The sequence below is a fragment of the Homo sapiens genome, chromosome 12 (genome assembly GCF_000001405.40).
Source record: "Homo sapiens chromosome 12, GRCh38.p14 Primary Assembly".
Taxonomy (NCBI): Eukaryota; Metazoa; Chordata; class Mammalia; order Primates; family Hominidae; genus Homo; species Homo sapiens.
The window spans coordinates 23,850,996-23,868,533 of NC_000012.12; the positions used below are offsets into that span (position 1 = coordinate 23,850,996).

The 17,538-nt window shown below is 34.8% G+C and overlaps 1 protein-coding gene across 42 annotated transcripts in view, besides 1 other annotated feature; it reads right to left on the reverse strand.

Annotated features, from left to right (window-relative positions):
- Positions 1-17,538, reverse strand: part of SOX5 (SRY-box transcription factor 5) — a 1,033,147-nt gene that overhangs the window by 321,492 nt on the left and 694,117 nt on the right. The window lies entirely within an intron of this gene.
- Positions 1,746-1,946: a silencer, noted in NCBI's record as "peak1613 fragment used in MPRA reporter construct". NCBI's record gives its function as "represses an SCP1 promoter by STARR-seq MPRAs in K562 erythroleukemia cells {active_cell/tissue: K562}" and the evidence as "EXISTENCE:reporter gene assay evidence [ECO:0000049][PMID:32103011]".

Here is a 17,538-nt window from a genome sequence, read left to right on the forward strand (position 1 = left end):
GACCTAAATATATACCTTCATAGAAAAATAATATCAGCTCATCAGTATAGACAATTAGGTTATTTTAAAAAACCAGTTGCTTGCAAAAGAAAAAAAAAACCTTATCAAGATAAAAGTTTACCCCTTATCAAGATAAAAGTTTATTTAAGGTATATATGTTAATATCTTAAAATTTTACTGCTCTAAAGATAAGCATTTAGAAAGAGATACATATTTTAGTTATTCTTTAAAGAGAAATAAATAGGGCAATCATTGTTTTCTTATTCAGCAATCATCTTGTGATAATATGCACAGAAATCTGAAATACAAGACAGAATTGCTAACTTCTACAAATGAAGTTTGCAATTTTGACAGCAAGTTTTATCAGCTCAATTTTCCAATATTAATGTTCCTAAAAATGAGATGTAAATATAAAAGAGATACATTGAGGCAAAACCAAGTTTAAAAAACTCGATAGAAAACACTAAGAAATTTTCTTTCGTTAAGATTATCAAATTAAATACTCTGGGAACAAGATATTGTCAGTTCCCAATACCCACAGAATACAAGTCAGCACTTACAGACAGACCTCTGAAGAGTGTTTGTTATAGTAATGATTATGGATCAAGTCATCCAATTTAAAGCCTTTCCTTTTGTCTGAAACATAGCTAATTGTACTTAGGTCCAGTAGTTCAAAAAATGAAAAATAAGAGAGGTACTTTTGTTTGGGCTATTTCAGTAGTTCACCGAGAGAGAGAGCTTATCACAACTGGTCATCCTTCTATATTTGAAAAAGCCACTGATAATACCTTTGTAAAACTGACAGATCAGCACTTACAACATCAGGGATCCTTAGTGCCTAAACAACTATAAGGTACACAACTTAAGATTATATATTTTAGATGAGTGGGCCTGGAATCTATCTTGGGATAGGGTCAGAAAGCAACATATATGCATTTTTTAAAGTTCTCTAAAGAAGTGTGATGATCAGCGGCTAGGTTGGTATGTAGTGGCCTAATCTAGACCACTTACAAGCAAGTTAAGAGCCAAGTTAGTTTTTAAGGAATGCTTATATTATATATATTCAATATTTTCATATGATTGAAATTCTCTGAAAATTAGTATTTTGAATCCTTAGAAACATTTATTCATCACAATATTAAAAATGGATAGAAATTCTAAAATACTTAAACAGGCATCTGCAACCTTTTTTCTCTATGATCTACGGAAAGCTCTAATTTCCTGAACTAATGAGTTCTAATTTTTTCTAACTTTTAAAGAACATTGGAAAAACCTTACAAATTAATTTGTGTCTTTAAGGCAGACATAGCACACTCTCGGGGCAGACTGAATATTCTAGACAGTAACAGTCCTCATCAAGTTCAGGTAAAAAGATTATCATTTTATAAAAATGGCCCCATTATACTTCAAAAATATAATCCAGCCCGTATTTCAAACATTTCTTATGTATTTTGGGACAGTGCAAACAGAAGTGAGAACTCTTTAATGTTTTTTTCAAAGCCTAAAAATATAGACTCTTTTAAAGATTGCTATTCAACAGGATGGAAATTCAGCAGAAGTCTAACTTGGTTTGCATTTCTTTGCCAAGCATTGAGATGAAATGTTAGTTTAGGCTTTTATTTAATTACTAATTAGGAAACTAAATAAATATTTAAAAGTGTGTTCTTTAAAAAATGCATTCAAATGGTACTAAACAGCAATAAAGAATGATAGCATAGTGACAGGTGATTTTTATAAACATGATTCGCAAACGGTGGTCCTCAAAATAATGTCATTGGCATCACCGGGGAACACTTTCAACATTTTTCTCAGGCCTCACCCCAGACTTCCTGAATCAGATGTTCAGGAGGTGGAGCCCAACCAAATCTGAGTTAACAAGCCTTCCATGTGAGACTGAAGTTTGAGAACTACTGTCATAGGAAAAACTGTTAAGAGCTAAGGAGAGAAAAAGAGGCAGAGAAGGAAAGGGGGGAATGATTAAAAGCTGCAGTGGGGAAGAAAGACATCATTAAAGTAATGGGACAAGAATTTGAGAAGAGTGAGAAAAGGTAATATATTCCAGGGAGGAAAAGAAGGATAGTGGGGATGGAGAAGAGTCAGCACACATGCAAAAATTATATATATATATACATATATATATATATACACACACATATTGTAAAAGAATGACTTTGAATTTTTTAATAGTCATTTTGGCATTTGTTGAAACACGCTTATGTTTCCTGATGTCCTACTAACTATATAGATTAGGAAATCTCAGATTTCCTAATTCACAAAATTGAATTGTGAAAATAGATTGTTTTTAGAAATGCACCAACATTTAGTTTAAATTTATTAATAATTAGATCTCATTTACAATATGAAAATATTATATTTTGTTTTATAAATCACTATCAGATTTACCATCTAATTTAATGATGGTGAATGAAACTGCAAGTTAAGGGCAAATTTTCTGATTATCAATAAGAGATGCTATAAATAGGAGAAACAGTTTTAAAAATATCTTTATTTTCATGTAGATGCTGCATGGGCAAAAGTGTCTAACGTGTTTTTTTTTTTTTTTTTTACCCCAAATGCTCCTTCAGAGTATTTGAAAATATTCCTTCAGAATCACACTTGCTAATAATCTCAGAAATGCTGCATTCAAGAATAAAATGTATGTTTTCATGTGCTCTCAAAACCTCTTAATAAGCAAAAGTGGCATTTAGAAAATTGCTAATACATTAACTAATAGAACCCGTAAAAACAAAGAACATTTTGTGCTGTGACAGCCTCATTATCTTCCTGGGGATGATATGTGCTCTGTGTCTTAGTTATGTTTAAACATCTAGCAAATACACTTTAAAACGTTTGATGATCTCTTCCCTGAGTGAGCAAAGACCAACCATAAGAGGTGTCTAAACAAAAGTTAGACTACAAATCAAAACATTTTCCTTTTAACATTTGTAATAAATTTAACATGTATTGTAACTAGCCACTGATTAGATATAATTTTTCTGTCATTCTCCTAAATCTCTAGAACCTTTTTATTGTCGTTTTTAGTAAACTTGACTAAATATCTATTCACTCTATGTGTCTGAAGGAAGAAATAAGATATAAGGAATTTCTCAAATTTTCATCTGTATTCTGTACCAAAATTTTTAATAGAGTTGCTTAAGTATAGAAAATTGAGGAAATGACTTACTTTTATCCCACATAGCAATAAATGTAGTTTTTTAATACAGAGCATTCATTCAGTGAAGAAGCTAAACGTTTGCTAGCACTGCTTATAACTGGAAACTGACTATGTCTTCACTAATAAATAAAATAGATTGTGGTCCTCCCATGCAGTAAAATATAATGGCAGCAAAGCAGTATAAAGCAGTTGTTAAGAAACTGGAGGCAGAAGTCAGGATATTTGGGTCAAGGACAGGCTCTGTTATTTATAATCTGTATTATACAGTTATATTATACAGTTATATATAATTGTATAATCTAGGGCAATTGTCTAAACTCTCTAAGCCTGTTTCCTCATCTAGAAAATGGGATAAGTGAAAATTAATTTATATGTATATGATTTATCTCCAAAATTTAACACTAACGAAAATAAACTTTTTAAAAAGGAAATATTATTTCATTCACTCTATTTTCTCTTTCATTTATATAATAAAATGTTTTGAACACTAACTTGCAGGGCAGCATAAAGATGGGTTAAGCACAGAGAATTTGAAGCCAAATAGCTTTGGTTCAAATCCTGGTTCCATCATTCACCAGTTGTGTGACCTTGGACAAGTCACACACATACAAGTCAATCCTTGTATGCCTCAATTTTCTCATCTGCAAAATGGGGATAATATTAGCATCTAATACCTCACTGGGTTGCTAGAGGATTATAAGTTAAAATATAATGAGTTATATGAGCTGGGGTATTACATAAGTTAATAATATGTGTTATGAGCTATAAAATTCATAAAATGGCAACAAATATTACAAGAGCTATATAAGTGTTTGTTAAAATAAGTGTGCTTCCAGGCATATTAGCCTATAAAGATGAATAAAACATAGAATATACAAAAACAAATAAAGAAAAAAAATAGACCCTTTACCAGAAAAGCAAAGAAAAAACATATTAGGAGGAGAAAAGCCCTTTCTTTCATCCACTCTGCCAAATATAGAATATGCCTATACAAGCAGTTTTTATAGTTTTTTCTGCTAAAATCAAACTGTATCCAGGGAAAGATTTTTTTAATAATTTAAAATTTATTTAATGTGGCCCATTTTTAAAGATAACCTAATACAAACTTTTCTTTTGTTTTTAAGAGAATAAAAGGTATTCCACAAAATGCCATACAGCATTAGTAGGCTTTTACCTCTGTTGCATATTCAATTTTCAAATTTCACAGTTTCATGGTTCTCTACAAAGTGATAACTCAGGGAAACAATCAAAGAAAAGATGTTCAGTTACTACTCATTATGAAATAAAACTATTAAAAGTGAAAGTTTGAAAAAAATGAAGAGTAATGGATTGTTTGTGATAAATACATGACACCAATTACTTTTTATGTCATGTTTCTATCTTTCTCTTTCTTTTTCTGAGATGTGCACATCAAGCTTTTTCTTTCTTTGTGAGGACATCAGCACCACTAGACTGTCTGGCAAATAAATCCTTATTTTCTTACAGGAAAAATATGAAACAACAATAGTAATACGAGGAAGGATACTATCAAGTACAAATTCTCCATTTTTGCTATTTCTCTCTGCTATGCTCCAGCAGCACCTTGAAACACATTCTTCAGGGAATTTCTCTGAGAATTATAAAAGAAAAAGTCTGTAAAACATATGCCTTCTCACTGTATCAGGCTAATTTCATAGCCTAAAATCAGTCCGCTCTGTTACGCCACCACACTAGTCTTCCCTTTAAAAAAGAGCTAAAGACCTATTTTTCTATACTAATTAAGACTCTCAATAGAGAACTATGTTTAGGGCAAAAGAAGCTTTTTGTGAAAGAAGCCTTTAACATGAACTGACATTAGGCAGTGAGTTGAGAAATAAGAAGCACAAGTTTCAGTTCTCAGTCTAAAAGTAATGGTGAGGTATTAAACAGTCCACAGACTCTTACAAAATTTCCCAACTAGCCAAATTACTTATTCACACTATAAAGCAGAATTTCCTGAACCCACTTTAGCGGGCCCATAAGGACCATCCCACAGCACACACAATCACTGAGATAGTCGTTCTTAATGTAAAATATTAGGTTCTCTGCAAAGATTATATTCATGTAGTTTACACGAGCAATGCTATACACAGATTTTGTCAGTCTTAGAGTTTTAAAGGACATAAAAAGCACCTTTACATTATTAGGCATTTTCTTGATGAGATACACAAAATCTGTTTATTCACTAATGTTTCAGTCAAAATATAGCTACCAGTTTTGGAGTTCTTAAAGGCACTGTTGCAAATGTTCTATGGGCTTTTAACAAATAATTCTCAGAGAAATTCCCTGAAAAATGTTATTGCTATTTAACATATGATGAAATTAAAGTTCTAAAAGTAGTTTACCCAAAATAATAGTAGGAAATGGTAAATTGGAGAATTAAACCTAAGATTCAATTCTAAACTCCTTGCTGTGGTCATCATTAAGCTTCCTCAACTGATTCAGGTGCTGCAAGATATGCCAAAGGTATAAGAAAATAAAGCTGGTTTTCTCTCTCTTCAAAGAGTTTAAAATTAAATTTGAGAGGCACTGAAATGCACCTGAAATAATTAGTAATCATAACAACTATAATAAGTACTAATTTTTAGAGTAGCAAATTATACATGCAAGAGAAGTTTAGAGAAGAGAGAATGCTAGAAATCAAAGAAAAATGGAAAACTTCTTATCATAGTACTAATCACACTCTTTTAGGATTGTTCATTTAATTTTCTTTCTATACCATGAAGACAGGGAACATGTCTGATTATTCACACACACACTATGCCTTGTTATTAATGTTCCATAAATTCATATTGAGTTAATTATTAATTTATTAAATCTTCATGTATAGAGAGTCATTTAGTTTAAGCCTAGAAGAAATAAGTGAAGAGGAAAAGATACAGAGCATTCCCAGAGGCACCACCCAGGAAATTTTACAGTGCATATACACACACACTACAATGAAGGAAGTGGCTTAACCAAAAGAAATGAAGAATAATAAATAGAAGACTAATATAGGAGAGTCATTTCATGAAGGGTCATGAAAGTCAAGTAGGGTAGTTTACATTTGACCTAGCAGGCAATGGAGAACTATTGTTGATCTACAGTGAGTGATTCTATTAAAGTAGCTTGTTAGGAAGATTAGTCTAGCAGTGGTATGTAGAATTAATTGGGTAGAGGAGAAAGTAAAGATCTCCACTGAATAGGAAACTGTTACCATGACACATATGTGACAATAAAAGGCCTTCCACTAGATTGTAGCAGTGGGAGTTGAAAAGAACCATCAAATCTATCTGTCATCTGTGATTATCAACTGTTTTGGAAAATAGGTTACACTCAGAAAGGAGCTTTTCCAAACCTTATATATTCAGATTATTTTTGTTCACATTCCAGAGTACATTGCCCTTCCCTCTTCATCCATAGCCTGGTGATAGTTACTTCTATAGGGACAATGACAGGAATGTGTAAGGCATATGGAAAAAGGCTAATAGCCACTTTTAGATGGTTAGATACTCTATACACAATGTGTGATAATCGATGACAGTGTACTTAGGAAGTTTTTTCTTTCTTTTTTTTTTTTTTTGAGGTGGAGTCTTGCTCTGTAGCCCAGGCTGGAGTGCAGTGGCACGATCTTGGCTCACTGCAACCTCCCCCTCCCAGGTTCAAGCGATTCTCCTGCCTCAGCCTCCTGAGTAGGTGGGATTACAGGTGCCTGCCACCACACTTGGCTAATTTTTTGTATTTTTAGTAGAGACGGGGTTTCGCCATATTGGCCAGGCTGGTCTTGAACTCCTGACCTCAGGTGATCTGCCTGCCTCGGCCTCCCAAAGTGCTGGGATTACAGGCATGAGCCACCATTCCCGGCCAAGAGTTTTTTTTATTTGTAATTTAATATGCCTGTATGTGTGTGTGTGTGTGTGTGTATATGCAAGGCAGGTACATATATGTGCACTTTGTTGTTTTTTTGTTTGTTTTTTTACAATGTATGTTACTTTCCTATGAGAAGCGCTAAAAAATAATAATAATAAATCACTAATTAAACTTAAGAGCCTCTGCACAGCAAAAGAAACTATCAACACAGTAAAAAGACAACCTACAGAATGGGAGAAAATATTTGCAAACTATGCATCTCACAAAGGTCTAAAATCCAGCATCTATAAGGAACTAAAATTAACAAGAGAGAAACAAACAGCCCTATTTAAAATTGGGCAAGGGACATGAACAAACACTTCTCAAAAGAAGACGCACATGCACCCAACAAGCATATGAAAAAAAGCTCAATATTATTGATCACTAGAGAAATTCAAATAAAAACCACAGCGAGATACCATCTCACACCAGTCAGAATGGCTATTATTAAAAAGTCAGAAAGTAACAACAGGTGCTGGTGAGGTTGCAGAGAAGAGGGAACCCTTATACACTGTTGGTGGGAGTGTAAATTAGTTCAACCATTGTGGTAAGTAGTATGGTGACTCCTCAAAGAACTAAAGCCAGAACTACCATTTGACTCAGCAATCCTATTACTGAGTATATACCCAGAGGAATATAAGGCATTCTACAGAAACCTGCATGTGAATGTTCATTGCAGCACTGTTTACTGTTGCAGAAAGTCAGGGACCCTGAACGGAGGGACCAGCTGAAGCCATGGCAGAAGAACATAAACTGTGAAGATTTCATGGACATTTATTAGTTCCCCAAACTAATACTTTTATAATTTCTTATGCCTGTCTTTACTGCAATCTCTGAACATAAATTATGAAGATTTCATTGACATTTATCACTTCCCTAATCAATACTCTTATAATTTCCTGCACCTGTCTTTAATCTCTTAATCCCATCATCTTCATTAGCTGAGGATGTATGTCACTTCAGGACCCTGTGATGATTGCGTTAACTGTACAAATTGTAAAACATGTGTGTTTGAACAATATGAAATCAGGGCACCCTGAAAAAGAACAGAATAACAGCGATTTTCAGGGAACAAGGAAAGATAACCATAAGGTCTGGCTGCCTGTGGGGTCGGGCAGAATACAGCCATATTTTTCATCTCACAGAGAGCCTATAGATGGACATATGAGTAGGAGAACTATCACTGAATTCTTTTTCCAGCAAGGAATATTAATAATTGATAACCCTGGGGAAGGAATGCATTTCCAGGGGTAGGCCTACAGACGACCGCTCTGGGAATGTTTGTCTTATGCAGTTGAGATAAGGGATGAAATACGCTCTGGTCTCCTGCAGTGCCCTTCAGGCTTACTAGGATTGGGAAATTCCAGCCTGGTGAATTCTAGTCAGACCAGTTATCTGCTCTGGAACCCTGTTTCCTGTTAAGATGTTTATCAGGACAACGTGTGCCCAGCGGGACATGGACCCTCATCAGTAATTCTAATTTCACCCTTGCCTTGTGATCCTGCTCTGCTCCTCTGCCTTGTGATCTTTTATTGCCCTCTGAAGCATGTGATCCCTGTGACCTACTCTGTATTCATACACCCCTCCCCTTTTGAAATCCCTAATAAAAACTTGCTGGTTTTGTGGCTCAGGTGGGCATCACGGAATCTGCTGATATGTGATGTCACCCCTGGAGGCCGAGCTGTAAAATGTCTCTCTTTATACTCTTTCTCTTTATTTCTCAGACCGGCCGACACTTAGGGAAAATAGAAAAGAACCTACATTGAAATATTGGGGACTGGTTCCCCCAATAGTTCACAATAGAAAAGACATGGAATTAACCTAAATGCCCATAAATGACTGGATAAAGAAAATGTGGCACAAATATACCATAGAATATTATGCAGCCATAACAAAGAATGAGGTCATGTCTTTTGAGGGAATATGAATGAAACTGGAGGCTATCACTGTTAGCAAACTAAAGCAGAAACAGAAAACCAAATTCTGCATGTTCTCACTTATAAGTGGAAGCTAAATGATAAGAACTTATGAACACAGAGAAAGAAACAACAGACACTGAGGTCTTCTTGGGGGGAAACGGTGGGAGGAGGGAGAGGAGCAGAAAAGATAACTATTGGGAACTGAGCTTAATACCTGGGTGATGCAATAATATGTACAACAAACCTCCATGACATGTGTTTATCTGTGTAACAAACCTTCACATGTACCCCCAAACCTAAAATAAATTTAAAAAAAAAAAGAATGCTAAAAATATGTTCCCAATCCTAGAGACAATTTGAAAGAAGCAATGATAAGATTAAGCAACTTGAAAATAATAAGAAAAAAAAGAGTCAAAGATAAACATGGTTTTTGCTTGGGAAGTTGAAACAATGATTATGGTATTGACAAAAACAGATTTGTTAGCAAACAGAGATAATGTTTTAAATAGAATTGGTATGTCTAGTAAATTTCAATAAGTCCGCCCAACTAAATTAGTTTATAGCTTGAGCATTAGTCCTGGTTTCTGACCCCAGGACTTTAAGAGATGCCATACAATCTCCCTCAGGAAATTCAATTGTTTGAGATCTTTAAATTTGTATATGGAACATCTAAAGGTAGATGTGCCTACAAAAGGCAGGTGAAAAAATAAAGGCTGTAAAATAATGACTTATGAAGCATTTATTTCCAGTGAATGATTAAATGCACTTCAGGTCATAAGCTCTTCAAGAGTATCCACAGGGAGAAGAGCAAATGGCCAAGCCCTCTTCACCTATGCCTAAAAATGGCAGTTATAAGAGAGTAACACCTTCTCCTTCACTGACTTGGGTCTGCCCTGTACATTTTTGAAAGTTTATCGTTATTTATAACTAGATTTTGAAACACAAAGTATATTTTGTAAAAAAAAAAAAAAAAAAAAAAAAAACCCTGCCAACATAGAAATAATAATGAGCACCTATAGAATATGTCAAACAGAGAGAGAAGTAGGAAAATGAGAAGGCTCTAGAACAACAAAGTAAGAATCAAAGATTTTAGTTACTCCAGGAAGACTAAAGCGTGACAAAAAGATATCATTGTAAAACTAAGGGATAAAATGAGAAACGGAAGCAACTTTCCCTTAGTGACAATGAATGGGCTCTCAGAACGCTGAGTTCTTGGTGCTGTGTGTCCTGCCTCTAAAATCCCTGCCACATAAATGTTAGAATAAAGGGAGAAAATGAAATGTGTCAATATAAAAAAAGTTTTTCAGAATCCTACTGCTGTTTATTGCTTTATTGAGTTGTGACTACAGGTGACAGTATTTTCATTCCCATTAAGAAATTACTTTGTCATGGAAACTTGATGAAGTTACATATTGGTGAATATAAAAATAAAATTGCATTTAAGTTATACTAAATCCTATGGAGTATAAAGAGGAGATAAATAATTTTGAATTTTGGACAGATGTTTCCACTTCTACAATTCTACTGGAATTCCTGTTTTCTGAATATCTTTGGATATTTCTGCTATCCCAAAGTGCTCTGGCTTGGTGCTCAATAACCCTTAAAAATGCCGATTGATAATAAAAGTATTTACTCTTTATATTCCCAGATTCAAGAGAATACAAGCTCTATTTATGTTATAAAGCTACATTGTTTGACTCATGGAGCTCAATTTAAAGAGTCATTTTCTTTAAGTCTCAAACTTACTGAGTCTCAAGATGGGAAACAACCAGGTACTGCTATGCCTACCAGCTTTGAGGTGATTCACATTTACAAGCTCCTTACAAAAGTCCTTTGCTATCTATTCATTATACTTAGCAACATCAAACGGGAAAAATAATTAAAAAGATCCTATTGAACACCTACAGACCTTGAACATAGACAGGGGGTAAACACAAAGACAGAATATTTGGTTACAAGAGTCACACTTCATCTTTTTAATTAATTATACATTTTTGGGTTTTCTATTATTTCCCTTCTATTCCCTTGGTTCTAACAGAAGTATACACTTACATGTATATATTTCATTAAGAGGAAATGAAAGGGTTGTCTTTAGTTAAGATGTTTCCATTCACAGAGACTACACATTTAAAAAATAAATTGCCTGAATAAATTCAATTATCTAGAGAAGCAAAGGGAATCACATGCAAATGACATAATATGAAGAGGCCATTCCAACAGCTTCATGTTTATTTTTATTGTTTCAGTCAGTGGAAGGGAAAAGCTGTCAAAAATTTAACATCTCTTCCTTTTTAAAGGCCCCATGTCTCTGGTACTGAAAATTGCATGAGCAATAATATTGAGAGAAGAAATTTGTCTACTATTGAAAATAGGAGCAGGTTCAGATTCTCTCCAACTTACCGCCAGCACACAAGTGGGCCACCATACTCCTTGGTTGTATTTTGCCTACGGAAAGCAAAGACTACTTAATCTGAAAGTAGTCCAGATCAATCTGGCCAACGAAGACTGGCTTTAAAAAACAGTGTATCTTAAAAGCAACTAATAAATCCACTTATGTTAAATTTGCCTAAAACATGACTGTTCTGTCTCTGACATCAGCATTGAAAGTAGTAGGTGCCATATATGACTTTATCAGAAGGGATTCTAGCCTTGTACATTCCAACGAATAATAATTTACGTTTTGCCTTATTCTTTCAATCTGACAAAAATAAATGAAGATTTAGGCTGACTTTGTAATAGGTTCTTACTGAAAATCTCTGGCTTTTTACACTGAATTTACGTGCTACCTGAGTTCTCTTGAAGCGTGAATGTACCAAGTAAATGTGGCATATGTTTGTATTTTCTTGCCAATTCCAAATTCATTCATTCAAATCACTCACTGTAGGCCAAATTCTTATCCAATTCCACAGAGCCACCGATTTTCCTAGAAGTGAATAACAGCTTTGTGCAAGGAAACAGGGATGTCAATAGCAGGTCTGTTGGAAGAACTATGCAACTAGTAGACAGGATAAGAATTTGACCACAGGGTTTCTTGAGTGTGGTAGAATAGAGTTTGAAATGATCTAAATGATGAAGCTTTCAACACTTTCACTTGGGGGTCAATCCCAAACCCTGACAATTTGAATACTGCGAATTTTTCATTTTCTACTCAGTATATGTCTTTCTTTTTACTTTTTCCATGGCAATATTGTATACTACTTTGACTGTAACATGGGTTAGCTAATTCTTTCCATCTATATATGTGTATTACAATGCTCTTTATCATGATTAACCTCAGATTGCATTCAGAACCTAAGAATATATTCTGGAAAAAAATTACTAAATTTATTAATGTGACAATCACTATATGATATTTTAGAACGCTATTTCTTTGATTCTTTCTAACAGACCTATGAGGTAGGAAATATGATCAATGCTTTTACACACAGAGAAAATGAGTTTAAGCCATGGCTTCAAGTTAAATAACAAACAATTTCAATCCACATCTCTGATTCCTTTGAATGTGCTTTTAACTATTGTGTCATATGGCTTCTCATCGGAATAAAATACTTAATTGTTTTAATTTTACTAACCTTACTCAATTTTCTCTTTAAAGTTTGTTTTATCCCTATATATGTCATCTCTCAATACCATATGATGTTTCTGATACTCTAGTTTGGTTTCCTAAGGTACTTAACATCTTCAACTTTCTATACTACTTATAATTGGCTACATCTTACATTTCAATTTTCTTAACTTGTACTTCCAAATGAAAATTGAGCTATTTTGTCAACTCCTAAATAACATTTTAAACACACTACACACACACACACACACACACACACACACACACACACACACACACACTCTGAAATAAAGTATGGTCACAAAATATGTTAATCATGTCCCTACTTTGTGAAAAGCACTATCCTGAGTCCTAGAAGGAATAAAAATACAGGCACCTTGTTTTATGGCACTCTGCTTTACTGTGCTCCACAAATATAGCTTTTTTTTTTTTGTTAACAAATTGAAAGCTTGTGGCAACTGTGCATTAAGCAAGTTTATTGGGATCATTTTTACAGCATGTCTCTGTGTCACATTTTGGTAATTCTTGCAATATTCCCTATTTTTTCATTATAATTATTTCTACTTGGTGATCTGTGCTCAGTAATCTTTGATGTTTGTATTGTAATTGTTTTGGAGCACCACTAACCGCACCCATATAAGATGGTGAACTTAGTAAATGCTGTATGTGTTCTGACTACACCATTGACTGCTATTTTCCCATCTCTCTCCCTCTACTCGGGCGTCCCTATTATCTGAGACACAATATTGAAATTAGGCCATATATTAACCATACAATGGCCTCTAAGGGTTCAAGTAAAAGGATGGGTTGCACGTCTTTCACTTTAACTCAAAAGCTAGAAATTATTATACTTAGTGAGAAAGGCATGTGGAAAGCAGAGATAGGCCAAAAGCTAGGCCTCTTGCACCATAGTTAGCCAAGTTATGGATGCAAAGAAAAGGTTCTCGAAGGAAATAAAAGTAATACTCCACTCAACACACAAATGATAAGAAACCAAAACAGCCTTATCCTTAATATAAAGTTGTATTGGTCTGGAGAGAAGATCAGAGCAGCCACAAAATTCATTTAAGCCAAACCCTAATCCAGAACAAGGCCCTAACTCTCTTCAATTCCATGAAGGCTGAGAGAGGTGAGGAAGCTGTAGAAGAAAAGTTGAAAGCTAGCAGAGGTTGGCTCATGAGATTTAAGGAAAGAAGCAATCTTCATAAGATAATAATGCAAAGTGAAGCAGAATGTGCAGATATATAGAAGCTGCAGCAAGTCATCCAGAAGACCTAGCTAAGATAATTGATGAAACTGGCTATACAAAAACACAGATCTTCAGTGTAGACAAAACAATCTTCTATTGGAGGGAGACACACCATCTAAGACTTTCATAGTGAGAATGAAAAAGTCAGTGCTTGGCTTCGACGCTTCAAACAACAGCCTGGCTCTCCTGTTAGGGGTCAGTACATCTTAAAGTTAATGGTGACATTAAGTTGAAGCCAATGTTTATTTACCATTCTGAAAATGCTAGGGCCCTAAAGAATTATGCTAAATCGGCTCTGTCTTTGTCTATAAATGGAACAATAAAGCTTAGATGACAGCATATCTGTTTACAACATGGTTTACTATTTTAAGCCCACTGTTGAGACCTACTTCACAAAAAGAGAGATTCATTTAAAAATACTACTGCTCATTGACAACGCACCAAGTCACCCAGAAGCTCTGCTGGATATGTACAGGGAAACAAATGTTGTTTTCATGCCTGTTAACACAATATCCATTCTGCAGCCCATGGATCAGGAAGTCATTTTGACTTTCAAGTCTTATTATTTAAGAAATACATTTTGGGGCCAAGCACGGTGGCCCATGCCTGTAATCACAGCACTTTGGGAGGCTGAGGTGGGCAGATCACGAGGTCCAGAGATCAAGACCACCTTGGCTAACATGGTGACACCCCATCTCTACTAAAAATACGAAAAATTAGCTGGGCTTGGTGGCACGTGCCTGTAGTCCCAGCTACTCGGGAGGCTGAGGCAGGAGAATCACTTGAACCCGGGAGGCGGAGGTTGCAGTGAGCCGAGATCACACCACTGCATTCCCGCCTGGGTGACAGAGTGAGACTCCGTCTCAAAAAAAACGAAAAAAAATACATTTTGTAAGGCTATTGCTGCCATATATAATGATTCCTCTGATGTATCTTGGCAAAGTAAATTTAAAAACTTCTGGAAAGGTTTCATCATTATAGATACAATTAAGAACATTCGTGATGCAAGGGAGGAGGCCAAAATTTCAGCATTAAGAGGAGTTTGAAAGAAGTTGATTTCAAGCCTCATGGATGACTTTGTGGGGCTCAAGACTTCAGTGGAGGAAATTATTACAGATGTGGTAAAAATGGCAAGAAAACTGGAATCAGAAGCAGAGCCTGAAGATGTGACTGAATTGCTACAATCTCATGATAAAACTTGAATGAATGAGAAGTTACTTCTTATAGATGAGCAAAGAAAGTGGTTTCTTGAGATGGAATCTACTCCTGATGAAGATCCTGTGAACACCGTTGAAATAACAACAAAGTATTTAGAACATTCCATATCTCTGAGGTATACCTGTGTATACAAACATTTACATACACATGTACACTATGGCATAAGTATAACATAATAGCTATACACACATATGCATATACAAAGGAAAGGTAACTATGTTAATTTCAGTAATATATATTTATGATTTGGGCTATGAAAAAAGATTCTAATATATGGATTTTTAAATATATGGAATAGTCTAGATTGTAACTAAAGAGTTTTAAAGTACATATAATTTGTTATGAACAAGTAGATGTTAGTAATGCGAAAGTGCCCAAAACAGCTCTGTGAGTGTTTTGCCACCAATCCAAATTTAGGAGTAAGCCTCTGTCACTAGGAGAGGCATCCAGGTCATCTTTAAAACTTCTGACTAGTTAATCTCTTGAATGATGCCTGTTAACACTTCATTTCTTGTCCATTGCCATTTCATATCCAAAGCAATATTCTCTTTATTGTGGTAGTGTGGAACTGAGCCTACAACGTCTCCAAGATATGCCTATAATCTAATAGTGAAATCCAAAGTTTTTAATAACCTCCTCAATACATTTGAGACTACTGAACAGTACTTTTCCTAGCTTTCTGATGGCCTACCGTCTACTGGTTTTTCATCCTTCTCCGAGGCATTGCCAGTTTTCATCTTCAATCCTCTAAAATAAATTTAATGGCCATAACAAGTTCTGATTTGAGCATATAAAGACCTCATTTCTTTCTAATTTCCCTTTTGGGGATTTGATCTTGACATTGTGTTGCTGAAGATGTTTCTTCAGCTTCCACCTAGCTTTCAGGAAAAACTTGGAACTCTTTGAACAATGTGCACACTCAATTTATCTTCACTCTCCACTCCACTTAGTAATATAACCATAAGTCCTTGCTTTCCCCTGGCCATGCGTTCCTTATTTTCTCAACTCCACGCCTCTCCTCAAAAAACTTCAAGCTTTAAAACATGGCATAGGTTTACTTCCTTGGGGAATTATATGTTCTCAATAAATATGTGTGGAATTAATGACTCTTGAAATTTACAATTTCAAATCTCATCTCATATACACAGGTAAGTCTCACATTTCCATCTCATGGAAGAAAGGTTTTAATCACATAGTTCCATTAGTCCATTTTCCACCTAAATATCTCCTATGTCAAACCCAACAATGATAATGTTAACTCAGAATTCTGTCACACAAACCTGTTGTTCTTTTTGGCTTATGTTTCCCCTCCTTAAAGTGCTACCAACATTTTCCCAGTCACACAAGATTTAAGCAAAAATCACACTTTTGATCTTAGGCAAGTCTCTTATCCTGTCTGAACTTTAATTTTCCTATCTCAAAGTAAGAGATACGGACTAACAGACCTCTAAGACCTAATGCCAAGTTTAAAATTCTATGGATCTGTGAGTGGTAAATATATAAAAACACAAGCTGGTAATTGTGTTACTATTGGTCTTTAATCATTCTAAAACTCTTACTAGAACTTCTTTCTTTAAATACCCCAAATTAAAAAAATCTAGATTTACAATAAGATGAATAAGGAATTTGTACTACTGCCTGACACTGAAATGAATTAAGTGGGTTGGATCTATCCCCATAGAAAAGAATAGGTCTTTCCTACACACTATGCCACCAAAATGAACAGTGATGCCTCTTACTTTGAAAAGCGATCTGTAAATTAAGCTCTAGCTGTGTATAAACAACAAAGATAGTAAAAAAAAAAACAAAAAAACTTCCACATACAAAACACTATTAACATAAAAATTATTACCTTTATTGCTAATAATATGAGTAGATAGATTTAAGTAAATACCACCTAGGCAGTTTAACCTCAATCAGAAAAAAAAATTTAAGGATGTGAAGAAATGACAAAAATCATAACTACCTTTTAATTTCCTTCATTTCTTCCTTCCTCCCTTTTTTCTTTTTTCCTTTCCTCTTTCCCTCCTTCTCTCCCTCCCTCACTCCCTCTCTCCCTCCTTCCTTCCCTCCCTTCTTCCCTGCCTTCCACTTTTTTTTCTTCCTTGGTTAAAAAATGTGTAAAAACATCACCTGCTTTTAATATTAGCTGGTTTAATAAGATTTCCTATTTGACCTTTTTGTACATGCAATGAACTGTTCTATTTCACGGCTCCACTTCGTATTTCTAGGGAAGATAAGAATGTTAAGATTTCTTTCTGCTGATTACTCCAACATGCTTAATTATTTATCTAATTTTTCCACCTTCTAACTGGCCTGGGAAGAATAAACAACTTTAAGGTTCAGAAAAGAATATCAAGCATTTTGAAGCAAGAGCAAATTCATTTTCATACCTGAGTAAGAAAAGTAGCAATATAGGTACTCATTGTCATTTCTCATACTCTTCAGAAAACCCACTCTTACTTTCCATTCACTTTTGCTCGTGGTAATCTCTATAATTCAACCC